This window comes from Homo sapiens, chromosome 4 (assembly GCF_000001405.40).
Source record: "Homo sapiens chromosome 4, GRCh38.p14 Primary Assembly".
NCBI lineage: Eukaryota > Metazoa > Chordata > Mammalia > Primates > Hominidae > Homo > Homo sapiens.
In genome coordinates, this window is record NC_000004.12 from 40856523 (window position 1) to 40873132 (window position 16610).

At 44.8% G+C, this 16610-nt stretch overlaps 1 protein-coding gene and 1 non-coding gene across 56 annotated transcripts in view, besides 1 other annotated feature; both read right to left on the reverse strand.

Moving 5' to 3' along the window:
• APBB2 (amyloid beta precursor protein binding family B member 2) overlaps positions 1 to 16610 on the reverse strand; it is a 404516-nt gene that overhangs the window by 46496 nt on the left and 341410 nt on the right. For 2 of the 55 annotated variants that reach the window (NM_001166054.1, NM_001166053.1), the window contains exon 1: positions 504 to 670. The exons of 51 other annotated variants lie outside the window; for them this stretch is intronic. The gene's annotated coding sequence lies outside the window, so the exon portion shown is untranslated. Of the gene's footprint in view, positions 1 to 462; positions 671 to 16610 lie in introns of those variants that run through there. 2 more of the 55 variants (NM_001166052.2, NM_001166051.2) reach the window with 1 other exon arrangement.
• Positions 598 to 797: a silencer, noted in NCBI's record as "silent region_15382". NCBI's record gives its function as "represses an Ori minimal core promoter by ATAC-STARR-seq in GM12878 lymphoblastoid cells {active_cell/tissue: GM12878}" and the evidence as "EXISTENCE:reporter gene assay evidence [ECO:0000049][PMID:35858748]".
• On the reverse strand, positions 12342 to 12448 carry LOC124900907 (small nucleolar RNA U13). The gene has a single exon (XR_007058549.1). It is a non-coding gene; the product is annotated as a small nucleolar RNA U13 (small nucleolar RNA).

Consider the following 16610-nt stretch of genomic DNA (forward strand, 5'->3'; position numbering starts at 1 on the left):
TTTTTCTACACGAAAGGATATTGCTTTTAATCCAAATACTGGATTACCAAAACCCTGAAATATCTTTCAGTCCTAATGTAGACAGGAAGACAGAAATGTGGCCTCACCAGGGGGCACGTGAGGCGAAGGCAGTCACTGCCTCAATCATAGAACGCTGTCCACGGCAGAAATGCCCCGTGCAGACCCCATCAATGAATAGCCCACCCCGAACAGTCCTGCTGCACTGGCGAATTGGGGGTCCAAGGACGCCTCCCCCCCATTTCATACAAGCCTCACTCCTTCTTCCCACCGGCGGGGCAGAAAGCCCCCTCTTCAGCCCTTCCAGCCGTCCAGGACCAGGCAACTCGCTAAGCGCTGACTCGGGGAAGGGAGGGCGCAGCCTTTGTCCCGCAGGTCTCCCGCGCCCGCCTCGCTGTCCCCGCGAGCGAGCTTGGGCTCGACCCCCGTTCCCCCTGAACGCACCTGCAAACAAAGGAGAGCCGTTCCTTCGCCAACTTCCTCACCTTTGCCTCCCGGTCCTTCCGAAGTCGGGCGGGGATGCCGCCCCAGGTGCTACGACAAGCCCCAGGGTGCCGGCACCAGCCAGCGGTGCCGTCGCTCAAGCAGCCGCGCGCACTGCCCCGGGCTCAAGTTGAAGAGAGCGGCGCCCGCGCCTCCCTGCGCCCTCCCTGCCCCGCCCGCCGCGGCCGCCCATTGGCTGCTGGGGAGGCGCGTGGCCCCGCCCCACCCGGCCGCACTCCCGTGAAGTGCTCCCGCTAGGTGCTCCCGCCAGATGCTCCAGCTGCTAGGGGACTGGCTCAGGGCCGGCAAGGAGGATCCCCCACCCCAACATACTCCCTTCCTGTAACGAACGTTTCCTTTTTGGACTCTCAAGACTTAGAAACTTCATTCAAACCCACTGAACCTCTTTAGAAAAAGTTGATGCTCTAGGCCTGCTGGGTTTCTGGTTTCTTTTCTTTTCTTCTTGAGACAGAGTCTCGCTCTGTCGCCCAGGCTGGAGTGCAGTGACACGATCTCGGCTCACTGCAACCTCCGCTTCCCAGGTTCAAGCGATTCTCCTGCCTCAGCCTCCCTAGCAGCTGGGATTACAGGCGCCCGCCACCATGCCTGGCTAATTTTTCCTATTTAGTAGAGATGGGGTTTCACCATGTTGGCCAGGCTGGTCTCAAACTCCTGGCCTCAAGTGAGCCGCCCGCCTCGGCCTCCCAAAGTGCTGGGATTACAGGGGTGAGCCACCGCACCAGGCTGGGTTTCTACGATCCTGATTGTGGGGCGAGTGGGGGAAATGGGGGGCGGGGAGGGGTGGTTGGGGAAGGGAGGTATTGCAGCCCACAGCCAGAAAGCCTTTGGGCAGAAAGACAGAAACCAAATTGTAGTTTTATAAATCTGAATAATCAGATTTCAAGAGGCAGAAAATTCTGAATCGAGCTGGAAAGTGTTTACAGATCATCTGCCAATTTACACAAAGCACTTAGCAGTACACCCCTACACCCTTTTGTAATCCCTACCTCTTTTAAGACACCTTTTGTTTATAGCTGACTTGAAGCCAAGATCCCACAGGCACCCCAACATTGTCATCTCTAGCTGAGCGCCCCTCCCCCCATATACATGGAAGCAGAAAATGTCCAATTGGCTAAGTGACAGCACTTTCAGCACTTTAAGTAAGAGTCCTGGCTAGCCACTAGTCATATAAATATATGAGTTGGAAAGGAAAATCCAAGGTCTCTCACTGACTGTATTCTGTGAGCACTGAAAGTACTTCCTCTTTCTAATTGTTTCTGGGCAAGCGTAAGTTATTTGATTAGCCAATTAACAAAGTGAAATAGGGAGGCTGAGGCAGGAGAATTGCTTGAACCTGGGAGGTGGAGGTTGCAGTGAGCCAAGATCGCGCCACTGCACTCCAGCCTGAGTGACAGAGTGAGAGTCCGTCTCAAAAAAAAAAAAAAAAAAAAAAAAGAGCAAAATAGGCAAAGCATATTAGCCATGTTTTTGGCTATATTCAAAGTCTCATACGCTCCTTTTACAAAGAAAGGAACAGAAAATAGGAAATACACATGGAAAATCAAGGGAGTATTTAACTATAGGTCTTGTTTGGGTTTGGTAAAACACACCACAGGTGTACAGACAACTTTAATGTTCATGTTTAAATGAGGATCAGGTGTTTTCTCATTTGTTCAACATTTACTAAGCTCCTCCTAAGTACCAGGTTCTGTGCAGAAAATTTTATATTATGCTTTTCTAGTTAACAGTTGTCTTTCTAGGGAGGGCAAGATTTAACTCATGCTGTTTCTGAATCTACGATCAGTAACACTTCAATTATTTGGAAGAGTTATTGACAGTAAACTGCTTTGGCAACCACAACTGTCTGGAACACAACACAAACTGCAAGTGAGGCTAGAAGAGGGTTTAAGACTTGGGGTTCAGCAGCCAGAACAGACAGCAGCAAGCTCAGAGATATGAAACAAGTTAACAGGATTGTACCTGTCACCCCTTCAAAGGCTGCCTCTCCTTCCTTACACATCATTCCAGTGAGTTTGGTTGTCTGATTCTCTGTCTATAGCAGGGCAGAAGCAACAAATAGATGGGTCTGCCAGATGTCCACAGGGTACGTCAAGTGTGACAGCTGAGGGTCTGCTGGCAGGAAGTCATGTGTGACAAGTCCTGCCAACTCTGCCTCCTCCTGCTCTCTCCAACTTGCCCCCTTCTCTCAACTCCATGCTGCCACCCTAGTTCCAGCCAACATCTCATCAGGAGGGCTGCTGTCATTTTTTTTTTTTTTTTGAGACAGTGTCTCACTAGTGCAGTGGCCGCTATCTTGGCTCACTGCAACCTCCTCCTCTTGGGTTCAAGTGATCCTCATGCTTCAGAGATGGGGTTTTGCCATGTTGGCCAGGCTGGTCTTGAATTCCTGGCCTCAAGTAATCTGCCCACCTCAGCCTCCCAAAGTGCTGGGATTAGAGGCATGAGCCACCGCACCCGGCCTGCAGTAGTGTTTTAACAGTCTCCTTGCCTCCACTCATCTCTAACAAGCTGTTCTCACAGGAGCCACACCTGTCCCTTCAAAACAAAAACAAAAATCACAAATGCGAGTCCCTTCAAAAACGAAAATCACAAATATGAGTATCCATGCTCGAACCTTAAAACCACACAGTGGCTTCCCACTGCAATGCAGATAAAGTCTATAATCGCTTTCAGGGTCTCACAGGCCGCCTGGGATCAGGTCCCTGCTTCTATCTCCAATGCTGCAACCACATTCCCTCCTCTTTGTCTCTGCTCCAGTCCCCTTTTCTTCTTCCAGTTCCTGGAACACGCCCAGCTACTTCCCACCTCAGAGCCTTTGCACTGACTGTGACCCTCCTAGAATGCTCTTCCCTGCACTGCTCACCTGATGAATCCCTCTCATCTTCTAGGAATCTCAGCCCAAAAGTTGATTCCTTTGGAAGATGTTCCTGACAGGCAGTGTCCTCCCTGACAGCATCCCAGGCTTTTCCTTCGTACTCCTGCTGCAGCTTGGTGTTAAATATTTGGAAAATCATCCATTTATTATTCATCTCCTTCACTTTACAGTGAGCTTTATAAACTTACAGAGTCTGGTTTTGTTTCTGTACAGTGAAGAATTCAACCTTGGCTGAAGAGAGCCTCTGCCTTCAGCTTCTGGGAGGTAAACTCTAACACCTTGGAATGTTGTGCCTGACTGGGGTGTTTCTGTTTGCCTAGTGGCCTTGGGATACACTAGAGGGTCTAATAGGGTGATCTGGGGTGGGCGCTTGGCCCATGCAGTATCAGCTCCACCTCTGGAGGGACTCGAGACTGAGATTAGCCCTGGACCAGTTGTCTATGCCTTTGGGGTGGAGCCTCAATAAAAATCCTGGACACCAAGGCTTGGATGAACTTCCCTGGTTGACAATACTCTGTGCTATTGTCACACGGCAACACCAGGGAAGTTATGCTGCCCAGGACACCGTGGGGAGAGGACAACTGAAGGCTCAGAACTTCCCTGGACTCTGTCCTATGTGTGTCTTCCTTGGGCTGATTTTAATCAGAATCCTTTCCCTGTGACAAACCACAACCATGAGCATAATCACAGCCCTCAGTGAGCTCTATGAGTCCTTCTAGCAAATTATCAAACCTGAGGGTGGTCTCATTGACTATTCTCTAACTTGGCAGTTTCCCGTTGTATTTTCGGCAGTAAGCACATTTCCTGACATACAGTAAGTGCTTAATACATCCACTATTGATTAAATTTAATGTTACTATTTTTTAACCGATTTTTTTATATGACCAGGTAATCAGAATATAATGCTTTTATGATTTAAATAACAAATTTCCATTTTGCAAATGCCTACTTATGAGTTAAGGTCCAGATCAAACAAATGCCATCTCTCCCATGAGGCCTTTCCCTACTTCCCGAGGGCTCGTCACCCTTGCCTTTGTGTTCTCTGGCCCATCACTTTGCTTTCGAAGCATTAAGTAGTAATAAAATGTATTTCTGACCAGCTGGGCAATATAGCGAGACCCCCATATCTACAAAAAATTTTAAACATTAGGCCAGGTGTGGTGGCTCACGCCTGTAATCACAGCATTTTGGGAGGCCGAGGTGGGCGGATCACTTGAGGCCAGGAGTTCGAGACCAGCCTGGCAAACATGGTGGAACCCTGTCTCTACTAAAAATACAAAATTAGCCGGGCGTGGTGGCACGTGCCTGTAATCCCAGTTGCTCAGGAGGCTGAGGCAGGAGAATCACTTGAACTTGGGAGGCAGAGGTTGCAGTGAGCTGAGATCACACCGCTGCACTCCAGCCTGGGTAACAGAATGAGACTCTGTCTCAAAAAAAAAAAATTTTTTTTTTTAAACATTAGCCAGGTGTGGTGGCTTGCACCTGTTGTCCTACCTGCCTGGGAGGCTGAGGCAGAAGGATTGCTTGAGCCCAGGAGTTTGAGGCTGCAGAGAGCTATGATCTTGCCACTGCACTCCAGCCTGGATTATAGAGCGAGATGCTATCTCTAAAATAAATGAATAAATGAATGAATGAATAAAAATAAAACATCTGCTTTTGTGAAGGATATCTATGTTAGATAAACTCTGAGTCCCTACTACTGGGCATGGGGCTTGTACAGAAAAGGTACACAAACGGTGTTTATGGAATGAAGGCAGTTTTTAAAAACAGGTCTGGTTCACAGAAAGACAGGTTCAATTATGTGTGAAATTCTGGTACATATTACAGCTAATTCTCTGATAAATATGGTAGCTGTTACTGTAGTAACTGAGTATTATGAAGGTGTTCTATTGTTTTCTTTTTTCTTTCTAAAAATAAAAATGTTACTCAGGATTATGATACACTTTAAAAAGCCAGACATGCTTTAAATAAAAATATGGAAACTGATCACCCAACTTTTAAAAGGCATCTGACTTCCTAATTAGAATGAAATATCCCAGTTTATTTACAAAATACTGTGAAAGAAAAAAAATTCAACAAACCTAACCACTCATCTTTCTTTCATAGAAACCTAACTGAAAATTCAACCAGGATACCAATAACCTATGATGTCCCCAAGTAGCATAGAAAAATCAATTTTACTTCCTTCAGACCTGCATTTAAACTGGATAATAACTGATATAACGTGCAACAGCCATAATCCAATTTCAATTTGTTTGATTACATGAGTATAAACATTAAACAAGAAAGTCACAGGACTGTTAGGACAATGTTCACGCTATTAACTCATTATAGAACAAAGCATTATAATTTGCTCCTAGAGAACATGCTACTAAAATACATAGATATGAATTTGAACTATCCTTAAATACCATCCACAAAGATCCTTATATTGCCTCAGCCAAAGATAAAAGCAGCTCTGAATGTGGAAGCCACTTCAAAATCTCCTGAATTGAGGATAAGGGAATCCCTGAAGGATTCCTTAAATATTTGAGACTATTTTAACATCCATTTGTATGACACTTGCATAATCAGAGGATTTCAAAGCAGCACCCAGGTTAGTGGTCTCAAACTATAACGTGCATCATAACAGTTAAAATGATGGTGCCGGGCGGGTCCTAGCCGGGCACCGCGGCTCACGCCTGTAATCCCAGAACTTCGGGAGGCCAAGCCGGGTGGATTACGAGGTCAGCAGTTCAAGACCAGCCTGGTCAAGATGGTGAAACCCTGTGTCTACTAAAACTACAAAAATTAGCCAGGCGTGGTGGCAGGCACCTACAATCCCAGCTACTTGGGAGGCTGAGGCAGGAGAATCACTTGAACCTGTGCGGCAGAAGTTGCAGTGAGCCGAGATTGTGCCACTGCACTCCAGCCTGGGCGAGAGTGAGACTCCATCTCAAAAAAAAAAAAAAAAAAGCGCCACAATCTCAGAGGGTGTAACTCAGTAGGTCTCAAACAGACTCCTCGCTTTTTTTACATAAGCACCGTCCCTTCTGACCCAAATGATTTGGAGGCAGGTGTTCAGGGGGCTGTACATTGAGGATTCAAAACTGTTTCCAGAGAAGGGGACTGGTACTTTGTGTCAGAGGAGAAAGTCAGATGACAGATAAAGACACTGGAGGATGGGATGCTGCAGCTCTTTCTGTGTCCCGCACTGCATTCTGAGCTCCTTGAAGGCAGCAACCATGCTTTACTTGTTTTTGTATCTTTTGTGCCCAGCTCAGCACTAAGCACTTAATAATGAAGTACATTCGGGACAAAGTGGCATGCATCTATACTCACAGCTATGTGGATGTCAGAAGCATTCACCATGGGTACATTTCTGAGGGTCATATCACAACAAGGTTATCAACAGAGCAGGCGGGATGTTTTGGCAGGACCTTAAGGTAGATCAATGCCTTTCAAACTTCAATGTGCAAATGCATTGTCTGAGGACTTGTTCTGATTCAGTGGGTCTGCAGGTTCTGATTCAGTGGGTCTGGGTAGGGCCCTGTCGTTCTAAAAACTACATCCCAGGTGATGCCCAAGTTCTTATTCAGAGGCTCCACTTTGAATAGCAAGAATCCATACGTGAATCATCTAAACCATGATCACACGGACAAATGAGCAGCATAAAAGATTTTCAATGAGCTTGGACAATGAAAGCCAGGGAGGCCAGGTGCGGTGGCTCACACCTGTAATCCCAGCACTTTGGGAGGCTGATGTGGACAGATCATTTGAGGTCAGGAGTTCGAGGCCAGCCTGGCCAACATGGTGAAACCCTGTTTCTACGAAAAATGCAAAAATTAGCCGGTTGTGATGGTGCACGCCAGTAATCCCAGCTACTCAGGAGGCTGAGGCATGAGAATTCACTTGAACCCGAAAGGCAGAGGTTGTAGTGAGCTGAGATCACACCACTGCACTCCAGCCTGGGTGACAGAGGGAGACTGTCTCAAAAAAAAAAAAAAAAAAAAAAAAAGCAAGCCAGGGAGTTGTGGACTAACAGTAACATTCCCAACTTCTTTTAAAGCACCATGTAGGCTGGGTGCAGTGGCTCACGCCTGTAATCCCAGCACTTTAGGAAGCCAAGGCAGGTGGATCAGGAGGTCAAGAGATAGAGACCATCCTAGCCAACATAGTGAAACCCCATCACTATGACAAATACAAATATTAGCTGGGTGTGGTGGCGCCGAGTAATCTCAGCTACTTGGGAGGCTGAGGCAGGAGAATTGCTTGAACCGGGAAGGTAGAGGTTGGAGTGAGCTGAGATTGTGCCACTGCATTCCAGCCTGGCGACAGAGTGAGACTCCGTCTCAATAAAAACAAAACAAAACAAAACAAAACAAAACAAAAAAACCACTGTGTACCTGATTATTGCTCCTGGAGGACTCTATAACGTATATTTGTAAAAGAAAGACCCCACTGCCCCACAAGACATCAGTCACAGCAGACGCTTAGCTTGCACTCACGTAAGGATGTGCCCTTTATCTAAAAGGGATTGCCACAGTATCTCTTTAACTCAACTCTAACAAAAATTTTGGAAAAAAAACAAAAGAAATTCTCCTGCCCAATGGCCTGGAGTCTTCCTGTTCTGCCCTGTAAAATGCAAAGGCTATTTATAATAAATGTGTATAACAAGAATCTTTGTTAAGTGGAAGAGATTCCGAAGCCCTAGGCAGGCAGCATAGCTCATTTTCTTTATGCAATATTCAGCAGAAAAAACCTCCCACTACTCCAAAGACTGCGGGCCATTCCCTGGCCTTCACTGTACTATAAAGAGATTTGACTTATCTTCCCACCACCCACCACCCACCAGATCTCTTCTTCCTAACTGCTGCAGGGTGTAGCGAGGGTGAGCATAAATTGTTATCCTCCATGGTTCAGAATCCTAAGGGAGTCAGCACAACGTTTGATTCTTTTTTTTTTTTTTTTTTTTTTAGAGACAGGGTCTCACTCTGTCACCCAGGCTGGAGGGTAGTAGTGCAATCTTGGTTCACTGCAACCTCTGCCTCCTGGGTTCAAGCAATTCTCCCATCTCAGCCTCCCGAGTAGCTGGGATTACAGGCATGTGCCACCATGTCTAGCTAATTTTTGTATTTTTAATAGAGACGGGTTTTACCATGTTGGTCAGGCTGGTCTCGAACTCCTAACCTCAAGTGATCCATCCACTTTGGTCTCCCAAAGTGCTGGAATTACAGGTGTGAGCCACCACGCCTGGTCCTTTCAATTCTTAAAATGTTCAACCATCTCCCCACTCAACGCCCTGGCTTGCTCTCCCTGGAAAGCAGAATTGCAAGGACAGGGGTACTGCATGCACAGGGACACACAGTCACGGAGGGCCAAGGAAAAAGCTGGCTGTCTGGCAAGTTCCATGATTGTAATTTGAGAAAATCACATTTGTGTTTCTGCATCAGAAACTCAAGCTGAAACAGATACTAAACCCATGGCTGGGAAGGTAGGGTTAGGAGAGTAAGACAGTAAGGGCTAAGGAGTGAAGACAAGAGAAGTTCTTTAAAAATAAGTAAGAATTTTCCCTCACTGCCAGTCCACCAATGATCTGATTTCTGTCCCTGCAGTTTTGCCTTTTCCAAAATGTCATAAAAAGGGGGTCCTGTAATACCTAGCTTTCTGAACCTTGCTTCCTTCACTTAGCATAATTGTTGAGTGTATCAACAGTGCATTCCTTTTTATTGCTGAGAATTCCTTTGCATGGATGTACAAGAGTTTGTGTATCCATCTACCAGTTGATAGGTATTTTACTCTTTCCAGTTTTGGCAACTATGAATAAAGTCGATAATAAGAAAACAAACAACACAATTTTTTAAATGGGCAATAACATCTGAACAGATACGTCACCAAAGAAGATAAATGTTTTTCACAAGCACATGAAACATGCTGAACATCATTTGTTTGGAAAATGCCGATTAAAACCACAATGAATCACCACTTCACACATTTTAGAATGCTAAAATAACCACCACCACCCTCAAACAAACAAACCAAAAAATCCTGGCAATGCCAACTGCTGGTGAGGATGCGGAGCAACTGAACTTTCTTACTTTGCTGTTGCGAATGCAAAACGGTGCACCTCCTCAGAAAGCGGGCTGGCAGTTTCTCATAAACTTAAGCGTGCTGTCACCCTACAACCCAGTGATCCCACTCTTACGTATTTACCCAAGATGAGTGAACACTTCTGTTCACACAAAAACCTGTATGTGAATGATTACAGCGGCTTTATTCATGGTTCATGATTAACTTGCCTTTTAAGATGGATGGGCAACTGTCTCTTGATGGGTTTACCTCAGTTTTCCATGTTCACAGGCCTGGACACCATCAGTCATCTTTAAAAATTCACTAGGAGATTACAAAATAGAAGCACTTTACTTTCTTGGTGGTCACGAAACTCCATGCTCAGGAGCTTACTGTTGAGGCTGAATCCCAGAGGAGGGTTTAAGCAGGAGCTTACCCGATGATCGTTACTTCCAGTGGCAAGAAGCATAAAAAGAAACAAGCTGCTATTTTCACCCTCAACTGTTCTTAATCTTGCCTCCCTCTTCCTCCTCACTTTGCTTTTCCTATTCCACCTATGTGCCCTCATGCCCTAAAGAGATATCAGCTACATTAGAAGGCCACAGAAACTGAGGCCGATATAATTTTGATCCTTCAGTGTTGAGTTTAAATAAAAACATCATATATGGTTGCTGTTATTTGTTTTATCTTCGGATTCAACTGGAAGTTCCTAATTTGAAGGGACTTTTATTATTTTATAGTGTCCTTTTATTATTTTATTTTATTTTTGAGACAGAGTCTCGCTCTGTCACCCAGGCTGGAGTGCAGTGGTACGATCTCTACTCACTGAAACCTCCACCTCCCAGGTTCAAGCAATTCTCCTGCCTCAGCCTCCTGAGTAGCTAGGATTACAGGTGTGCGCCACCATGCCTGGCTAATTTTTTGTATTTTTAGTAGAATACAAAAGCACTGAACTGTGCAGTTTCCCGTGCAGAGATGGGGTTTCACTATGTTGGTCAGGCTGGTCTCGAACTCCTGACCTCAACTGATCTGCCTGCCTCGGCCTCCCAAAATGTTGAGATTACAGGCATGAGCCACCATGCACGGCCGACAGTGTCCTTTTAGATCAATTTTAGTGTATCACCATTTTTGTACCTGCTTTTACAAATAAAAGCTTTATTGGAACACAGCCATGCACATTCATTTATATCGTGTCTGTAGGTGCTTTTGCCTACCATGGCAGACACAGCATGACCTACAAAGCCTATTTACTGTCTGGTCTTTTGCAGAAAAAGTCGACTGACTCCTTCTCCAGCAGAATGACCTTTTAGTCATTCTATTAATATAAACGATGAGTATACTATTTGTTAGCTTTGTATAGCTACTAACATCTGTGCAGCATTTTCTATCTTCAGAGCATTTTTCATATCTATCATTTCACTATAGCACCCCATTAGCCCTATTAAATTAGCTATTATTATTATCAACCCCCTTTTTGTAAACAAAATAGGCTCAGAGGGAATGAGTGAACTCAATTATAAGAGGTGAAGCCAAAATTTGAACCTGTCTCATTCTCCAAATTGTCTGATCTTGTCACAAATAAATTGATACATCACACATAGCAAGCTGATCATTTAGTAGGTGAGTGAAGATCAACTTGAATTTTCATCCGCCTAAATTCTCCATTGAGCTCATTCAATTAAAGTTCCACACAAAGTTCACATATGGGGCTCCTGTTCTCTGAGATGACGTTCCCATGTACTCTCATTCCTGGGACTTAGAGACTGCTTAGCCTACAAAAAACTTCTCTTGCTTACAGTCTGTATTCCTTTCATATATATTAGTTAATTATATTGATCAATTATCAGGGAGCTGATCTAGGTTTTGTGGGACCTAAAGCTTAGACAATTTCTGGGGCTTTTTTTTTTTTTTTTAAGAATACAAAATTTATCTTCCTTTTGCAAAATCATTTTATATAAACCATGTGATCTAATTGCTAGCCCTCCTCCTAGGGTCTTGAAAGGGGCTCTAAATTTTCAGCCTCCTGAGTAGTTAGGTCTACAGGTATACCGTGCCTGGCTATTTTTTTTTTTTAGAGATGGGGTCTTGCTATGCTGCCCAGGCTGGTCTTGAAATTCTGGCCTCAAGCAATCCTCCCATGTCAGCCTCCCCAAGTGTTGGCATTACAGGGTGAGCCACCACACCCAGCTGGTTTTTAAAGTATGGTCCACAGACAGAATTAGTGTCACTTGGGAACTTAGTAGAAATGCAAATTCTCAGGCTCCACCCCAGACCTACTGAATTAATCAGAACCACTGAGGCTGGGGCAAAGCCAGCTTTGTTTGAAAAAGACCCACAGTGGATTCTGACATGCACTTGGATTTGAGCATCACTGCTTTACTGGACCATAGATTCTGCTTTCTTCTCTCATATAGAAAATTTTTTGAGGAAAAGAGGGGAAACTGCATCATTGAAGCGAGCTGTATAATTTTTCTTTAGGAACACAATGATCCAGTAACCAATCTGAACCATTAGCAATCTCAGCTTCAGAATTTCAGGAATCCATGACATGTGAAATGTGTCAGGATTAGCCAGAAGTAAAGGCTGGCAACTCAGTCTACTTTGATGGTTTCTGATTGCACTGATGATAAATTAACTGAACTCATGACTTATTAATTGAATTGAAAATGTATATTTAAAGACTCCTGATACAGTCAGAAGACTAAATCAGTAATTCCAAACTCTGAATCATCTTAGAAGTCAAAGAACTTTCCACAAAGGAACTAAATTACTTACCTCAAGCAAAATTCCTTTTTATTTAAAGAGTTGAGATTGGACCAAATTGGTCCTTTTAACCACCAAAGAGCCATTTTATTATTTTTGCCATCAAGGACCTCTTATTTTAATAACTTTTTTCTTTCACATCAATGGTAGTGTGCCAACTTTGTAACAAGGTTTGTGGAAGGCACATTTCACACATGCACATGAAAAGCCAATCACCATGCTTACGAACTACTAAAAGATCAATAATATTTATTTCTTATACATGTGTTACCTCGATTTGTCCCCACACCACCTTTCTATTTTTTTTTTCTTCTTTGAGACAGAGTCTTGCTCTGTCGCCCAGGCTGGAGTGCAGTGGTGAGATCTTGGCTCACTGCAATCTCCACCTCCCGGGTTCAAGTGATTCTCCTGCCTCAGACTCCTGAGTAGCTGGGATTACAGGCACCTGCCTGTAAACAGAAGAATAAAGTAGAATGAATCAGTGTATCCAATTTTAAAGCTGCATATATAGCTATAATAATCAACAGTGTGTGGTAATGGCAAATAATCCTAGCCCTAGGATTAAAATGGGCTGGGCACAGTGGCCCACAACTGTAATCCCAGCACTTTGGGAGGCTGAGTGAGGTAGGAGGATCAGTTGAGGCCAGGAGTTTGAGACTAGTCTGGGCAATATAGCAAGACCCCATCAATATGATTTTTTTTTTTTAATTAACTGGGCGAAGTGGCATGTGCCTGTAATCCCAGCTACTCTGGAGGCTGAGGTGGGAGGATCACTTAAGCCCAGGAGATCCAGGCTGCAGTGAGCTATGATCCTGCCACTGTACTCCAGCCTGGGTGAAGGGGTGAGACCCTGTCTCCAAAGAAAAAAAATAAAAGAGGCCTAAAAATAAGGCAAATGTCTAAAGGGACCGCTCTATAAACAAAGTGGGCCAGAATTTTAGATTCTGAAGGCAGACAAGGAATATACGTGAAATGAAAAAAATTCTAAGAATAAAAGACTTTGATATTTCTTGGTTTAGATCTTTGTATTAATTTCTTTGCCAATTATATAATTGCTTACTTTTCTTAACAGGCTTATTACCTAGGAAGGCTTGTGGTATTTATTACTAAATACCTAGTATTTAGTAAATATTCTATATATTCCTGTAGAAATAGGAAAATATGAGGTCAAAGCAGGCCCCAGTCACCCCATTCTGCTTGTGGGTATCTCCTGAAATGAACAGAGTATGAATGAATATGGACTACATTTCACAACCTTCAAGTTTAAATGGAAGAGAGAAAAAACATTCAAGTGTCTAAAAACTTAGGTACCAAATCACGTTATACATCATTTTGGGGGAAGACATCATTCTCTGGCAATAAACCGCTCACCCATGAAATGAAATAATCCTTCTAGGAAAGAATGATTCATTATTTAATAAACATTTGTCTGTTTTTGACTTCACTAAGAAAAATAAATGGGAGGAAATGCTCCAGGAATCTCAACAAGCAGCCTCCTCTGCCTCCAGCCCACTGTGCCCACCACTGCCAGTGCAGATGAGGGAGGGCAGAGTGAGGGGCAGCGCAGAGGGAGGGACAACATTCTCTTCTGAGTGCTCACCAGGGGACAGGGACCCGTGCCAAGCCCTCTCCCATTTAATATCTTACAACCAAGCTGCATCGGGGTTCCAAAGCTTCCATCTCTACACAAGAGGGCCCTGGGGCACAGTGTGTAACTGGCTCAGGGTCAGCCAGCTAACAGAGGCAGATCAGGAAGCCAACCGGTGTGCCTCACTCCAAAAGCCCTTTCATTTAAGAAGTCATATAATCTGTACCACCTAGAGGAGAGACAGCTGGGTGAGGAAGATGGAGGAGCAAAGCTGGGTAGCAGAAGGGGCTTCCACTGCCCTAACTGTAGAAGGCTGAAAAATATCCCAAAGAAATCAGGTCCTAATCCCTGGAACCTGCAAATGTTACCTTATAGGTATTATATACATATATGTGTGTGTGTGTGTATACACACTCTTTTTTTTTTTTTTTTTGGAGACCAAGTCTCACTCTCACCCATGCTGGAGTGCAGTGGCACGATCCCGGCTCACTGCAAACTCCGCCTCCCAGGTTCAAGCGATTCTCCTGCCTCAGCCTCCCGAGTAGCTGGGATAACAGGTGCATGACACCACACCCAGCTAATTTTGTATATTTAGCAGAGATGAACTCCCCACCTCTGGGGATCTACCCGCCTTGGCCTCCCAAAGTGCCGGGATTACAGGGGTGAGCCACCACCGCGCCCAGCCATACATATATATATATGTGTAAGTGTCTCTCAGAAGGACACTTATGACTGGATTTAGGTCCCACTCAGGTAATCCAGGATAATATCCTCAGGTCAAAATCCTTAACTTAATCACATCTGTGAAGACCCTACTACCCCGCACCCGTTTATTTTTTTTGAGACAGAGTCTCACTCTGTTGCCCAGGCTAGAGGGCAATGTTGCAGTCTTGGCTCACTGCAACCTCCACCTCCTGGGTTCAAGTGGCGATCCTCCCGCCTCAGACTCCTGAGTAGCTGGGACTACAGGCAAGAGCCATCATCCCCAGTTAGTTTTTGTATTCTTAGTAGAGACGGGGTTTTGCCACGTTGGCCAGGCTGGTCTCGAACTCCTGGCCTCAAGTGATCCGCCCGCCTTGGCCTCCCAAAGTGCTGGGATTACAGGCATGAGCCACCGCACCCGGCCTCAACTCCTTTTCTGAAGTTTCCTCTTCCTTCCCTCATGTGGGCCTCTGCACAAGGTAATTGGAGTGTCCATATTAACAGCTAAAAGGAGTAGGAACACTGACCCATTAATTTAGAATTCATGGTTTCAGACACGGTTCAGCCACATTTTTGTATAAAACTGATTAAGTCGTGTAAAAGTTCTAGGTCTCAGTTTCCTCATCTGTAAAAGGGACATAATGCTACACCCTGTAGTCCTGAAAGGACTAATGGAGATAGACCCTCAGTAAACCATAAAGCATTGTGTCAAAACATGCACAGAGTTCTGATTATTCTCCCCTCATTCTCCCCTTCAGATAATCAAAAGTACTTTTAAGCATCTAATATAAGGATAACATCATGTTGAAGCACACACAAGGAAATCTAAGATATGGTGATGGCTGTCAAGGAATTCACAGTCTAACCAGGGAGACACACATCTGTGACATTAGTGACAACCCGAGGTTGAAGAGATCTAGTACAATGAATATATGCATGACTACAGAGCTGAAAGACAGCACAGGGCATGGTGTGCTGTGAAGATTCACTCCCATTTGTAGGGGTGGCGTATATTTCCCCAACCCTTGAAGTGAGGCGCAGTTACGCATCTTGCTTTGCCAATGAAATGTGAGCAAAAGCGCTAAGCATCATTTCCAGCAGAAATGTTCAGTCAGCGCATCTTTTCCTTCTGCCACCATTGTTGCCAATATTGTAGTCTAGATTGTGACTTTATCATCAGCTTTAGACAGAGAATGAGGACAATGACAAAGGAAGCCGTGTCTTCAGCCAACCCACCATGGACTTTTAGCAGAAAGAATTGTTATAAGCCACTGAGATTTTTGGTTGTTATTACAGTCTAACCTAGCCTGTGCTGAAGGACACGAACGGTGACAGAAAGGCTAACAGAACAGGTGGGACCTGCACTAAGTCCTAAGGATAGGGATGTCACATAACACTGGCATAGGGCTTGACGGTCATGTTAGAAAGTGCTTCATGGGACTCATGAGCCCATGTCATTACCTGTCTGTTCCTCTTAGCACATCCCATGAGGGCAAGAACCATGGCGTTCTCATTCATGGCTACATCCTTGGTGCCAAGCATGGTGGCAGACACATGCTAGGGACTTAACACATGGGTATCCAATAAATCCCCAGAAAGCTAGATGGGATCAATAGAGGAAGAAGGAGGGAGAAAAGGAATTCTACGGCTTGACATCTCAAGTTAGGAATGAGGATGATGTGGCCTTGGACATGAAGAAAGCCAACTTTACAGATCACTGTAAGATACACAGGAAGAAATCTGGTTAAATTATAATGATAAAGGTTAAAAAAAAAAAAGATGGCGCCGGGTGCAGTGGTTCACACTTGTAATCCCAGCACTTTGGGAGGCTGAGGCGGGTGGATCACCTCAGGTCAGGAGTTCGAGACCAGCCTGGCCAACATGGTGAATGCCCATCTCTACTACAAATACAAAAAAATTAGCTGGGCGTGGTGTTGCGTGCCTGTAATCCCGGCTACTTGGGAGGCTGAGGCAGGAGAACTGCTTGAACACAGGAGGCGGAGGTTGCAGTGAGCTGAGATCATGCCACTGTACTCCAGCCTGGGCGACAGAGTGAGACTCCATCTCAAAAAAAAAAAAAAAAAGATGGTACCGTATATGGATGATGACAGC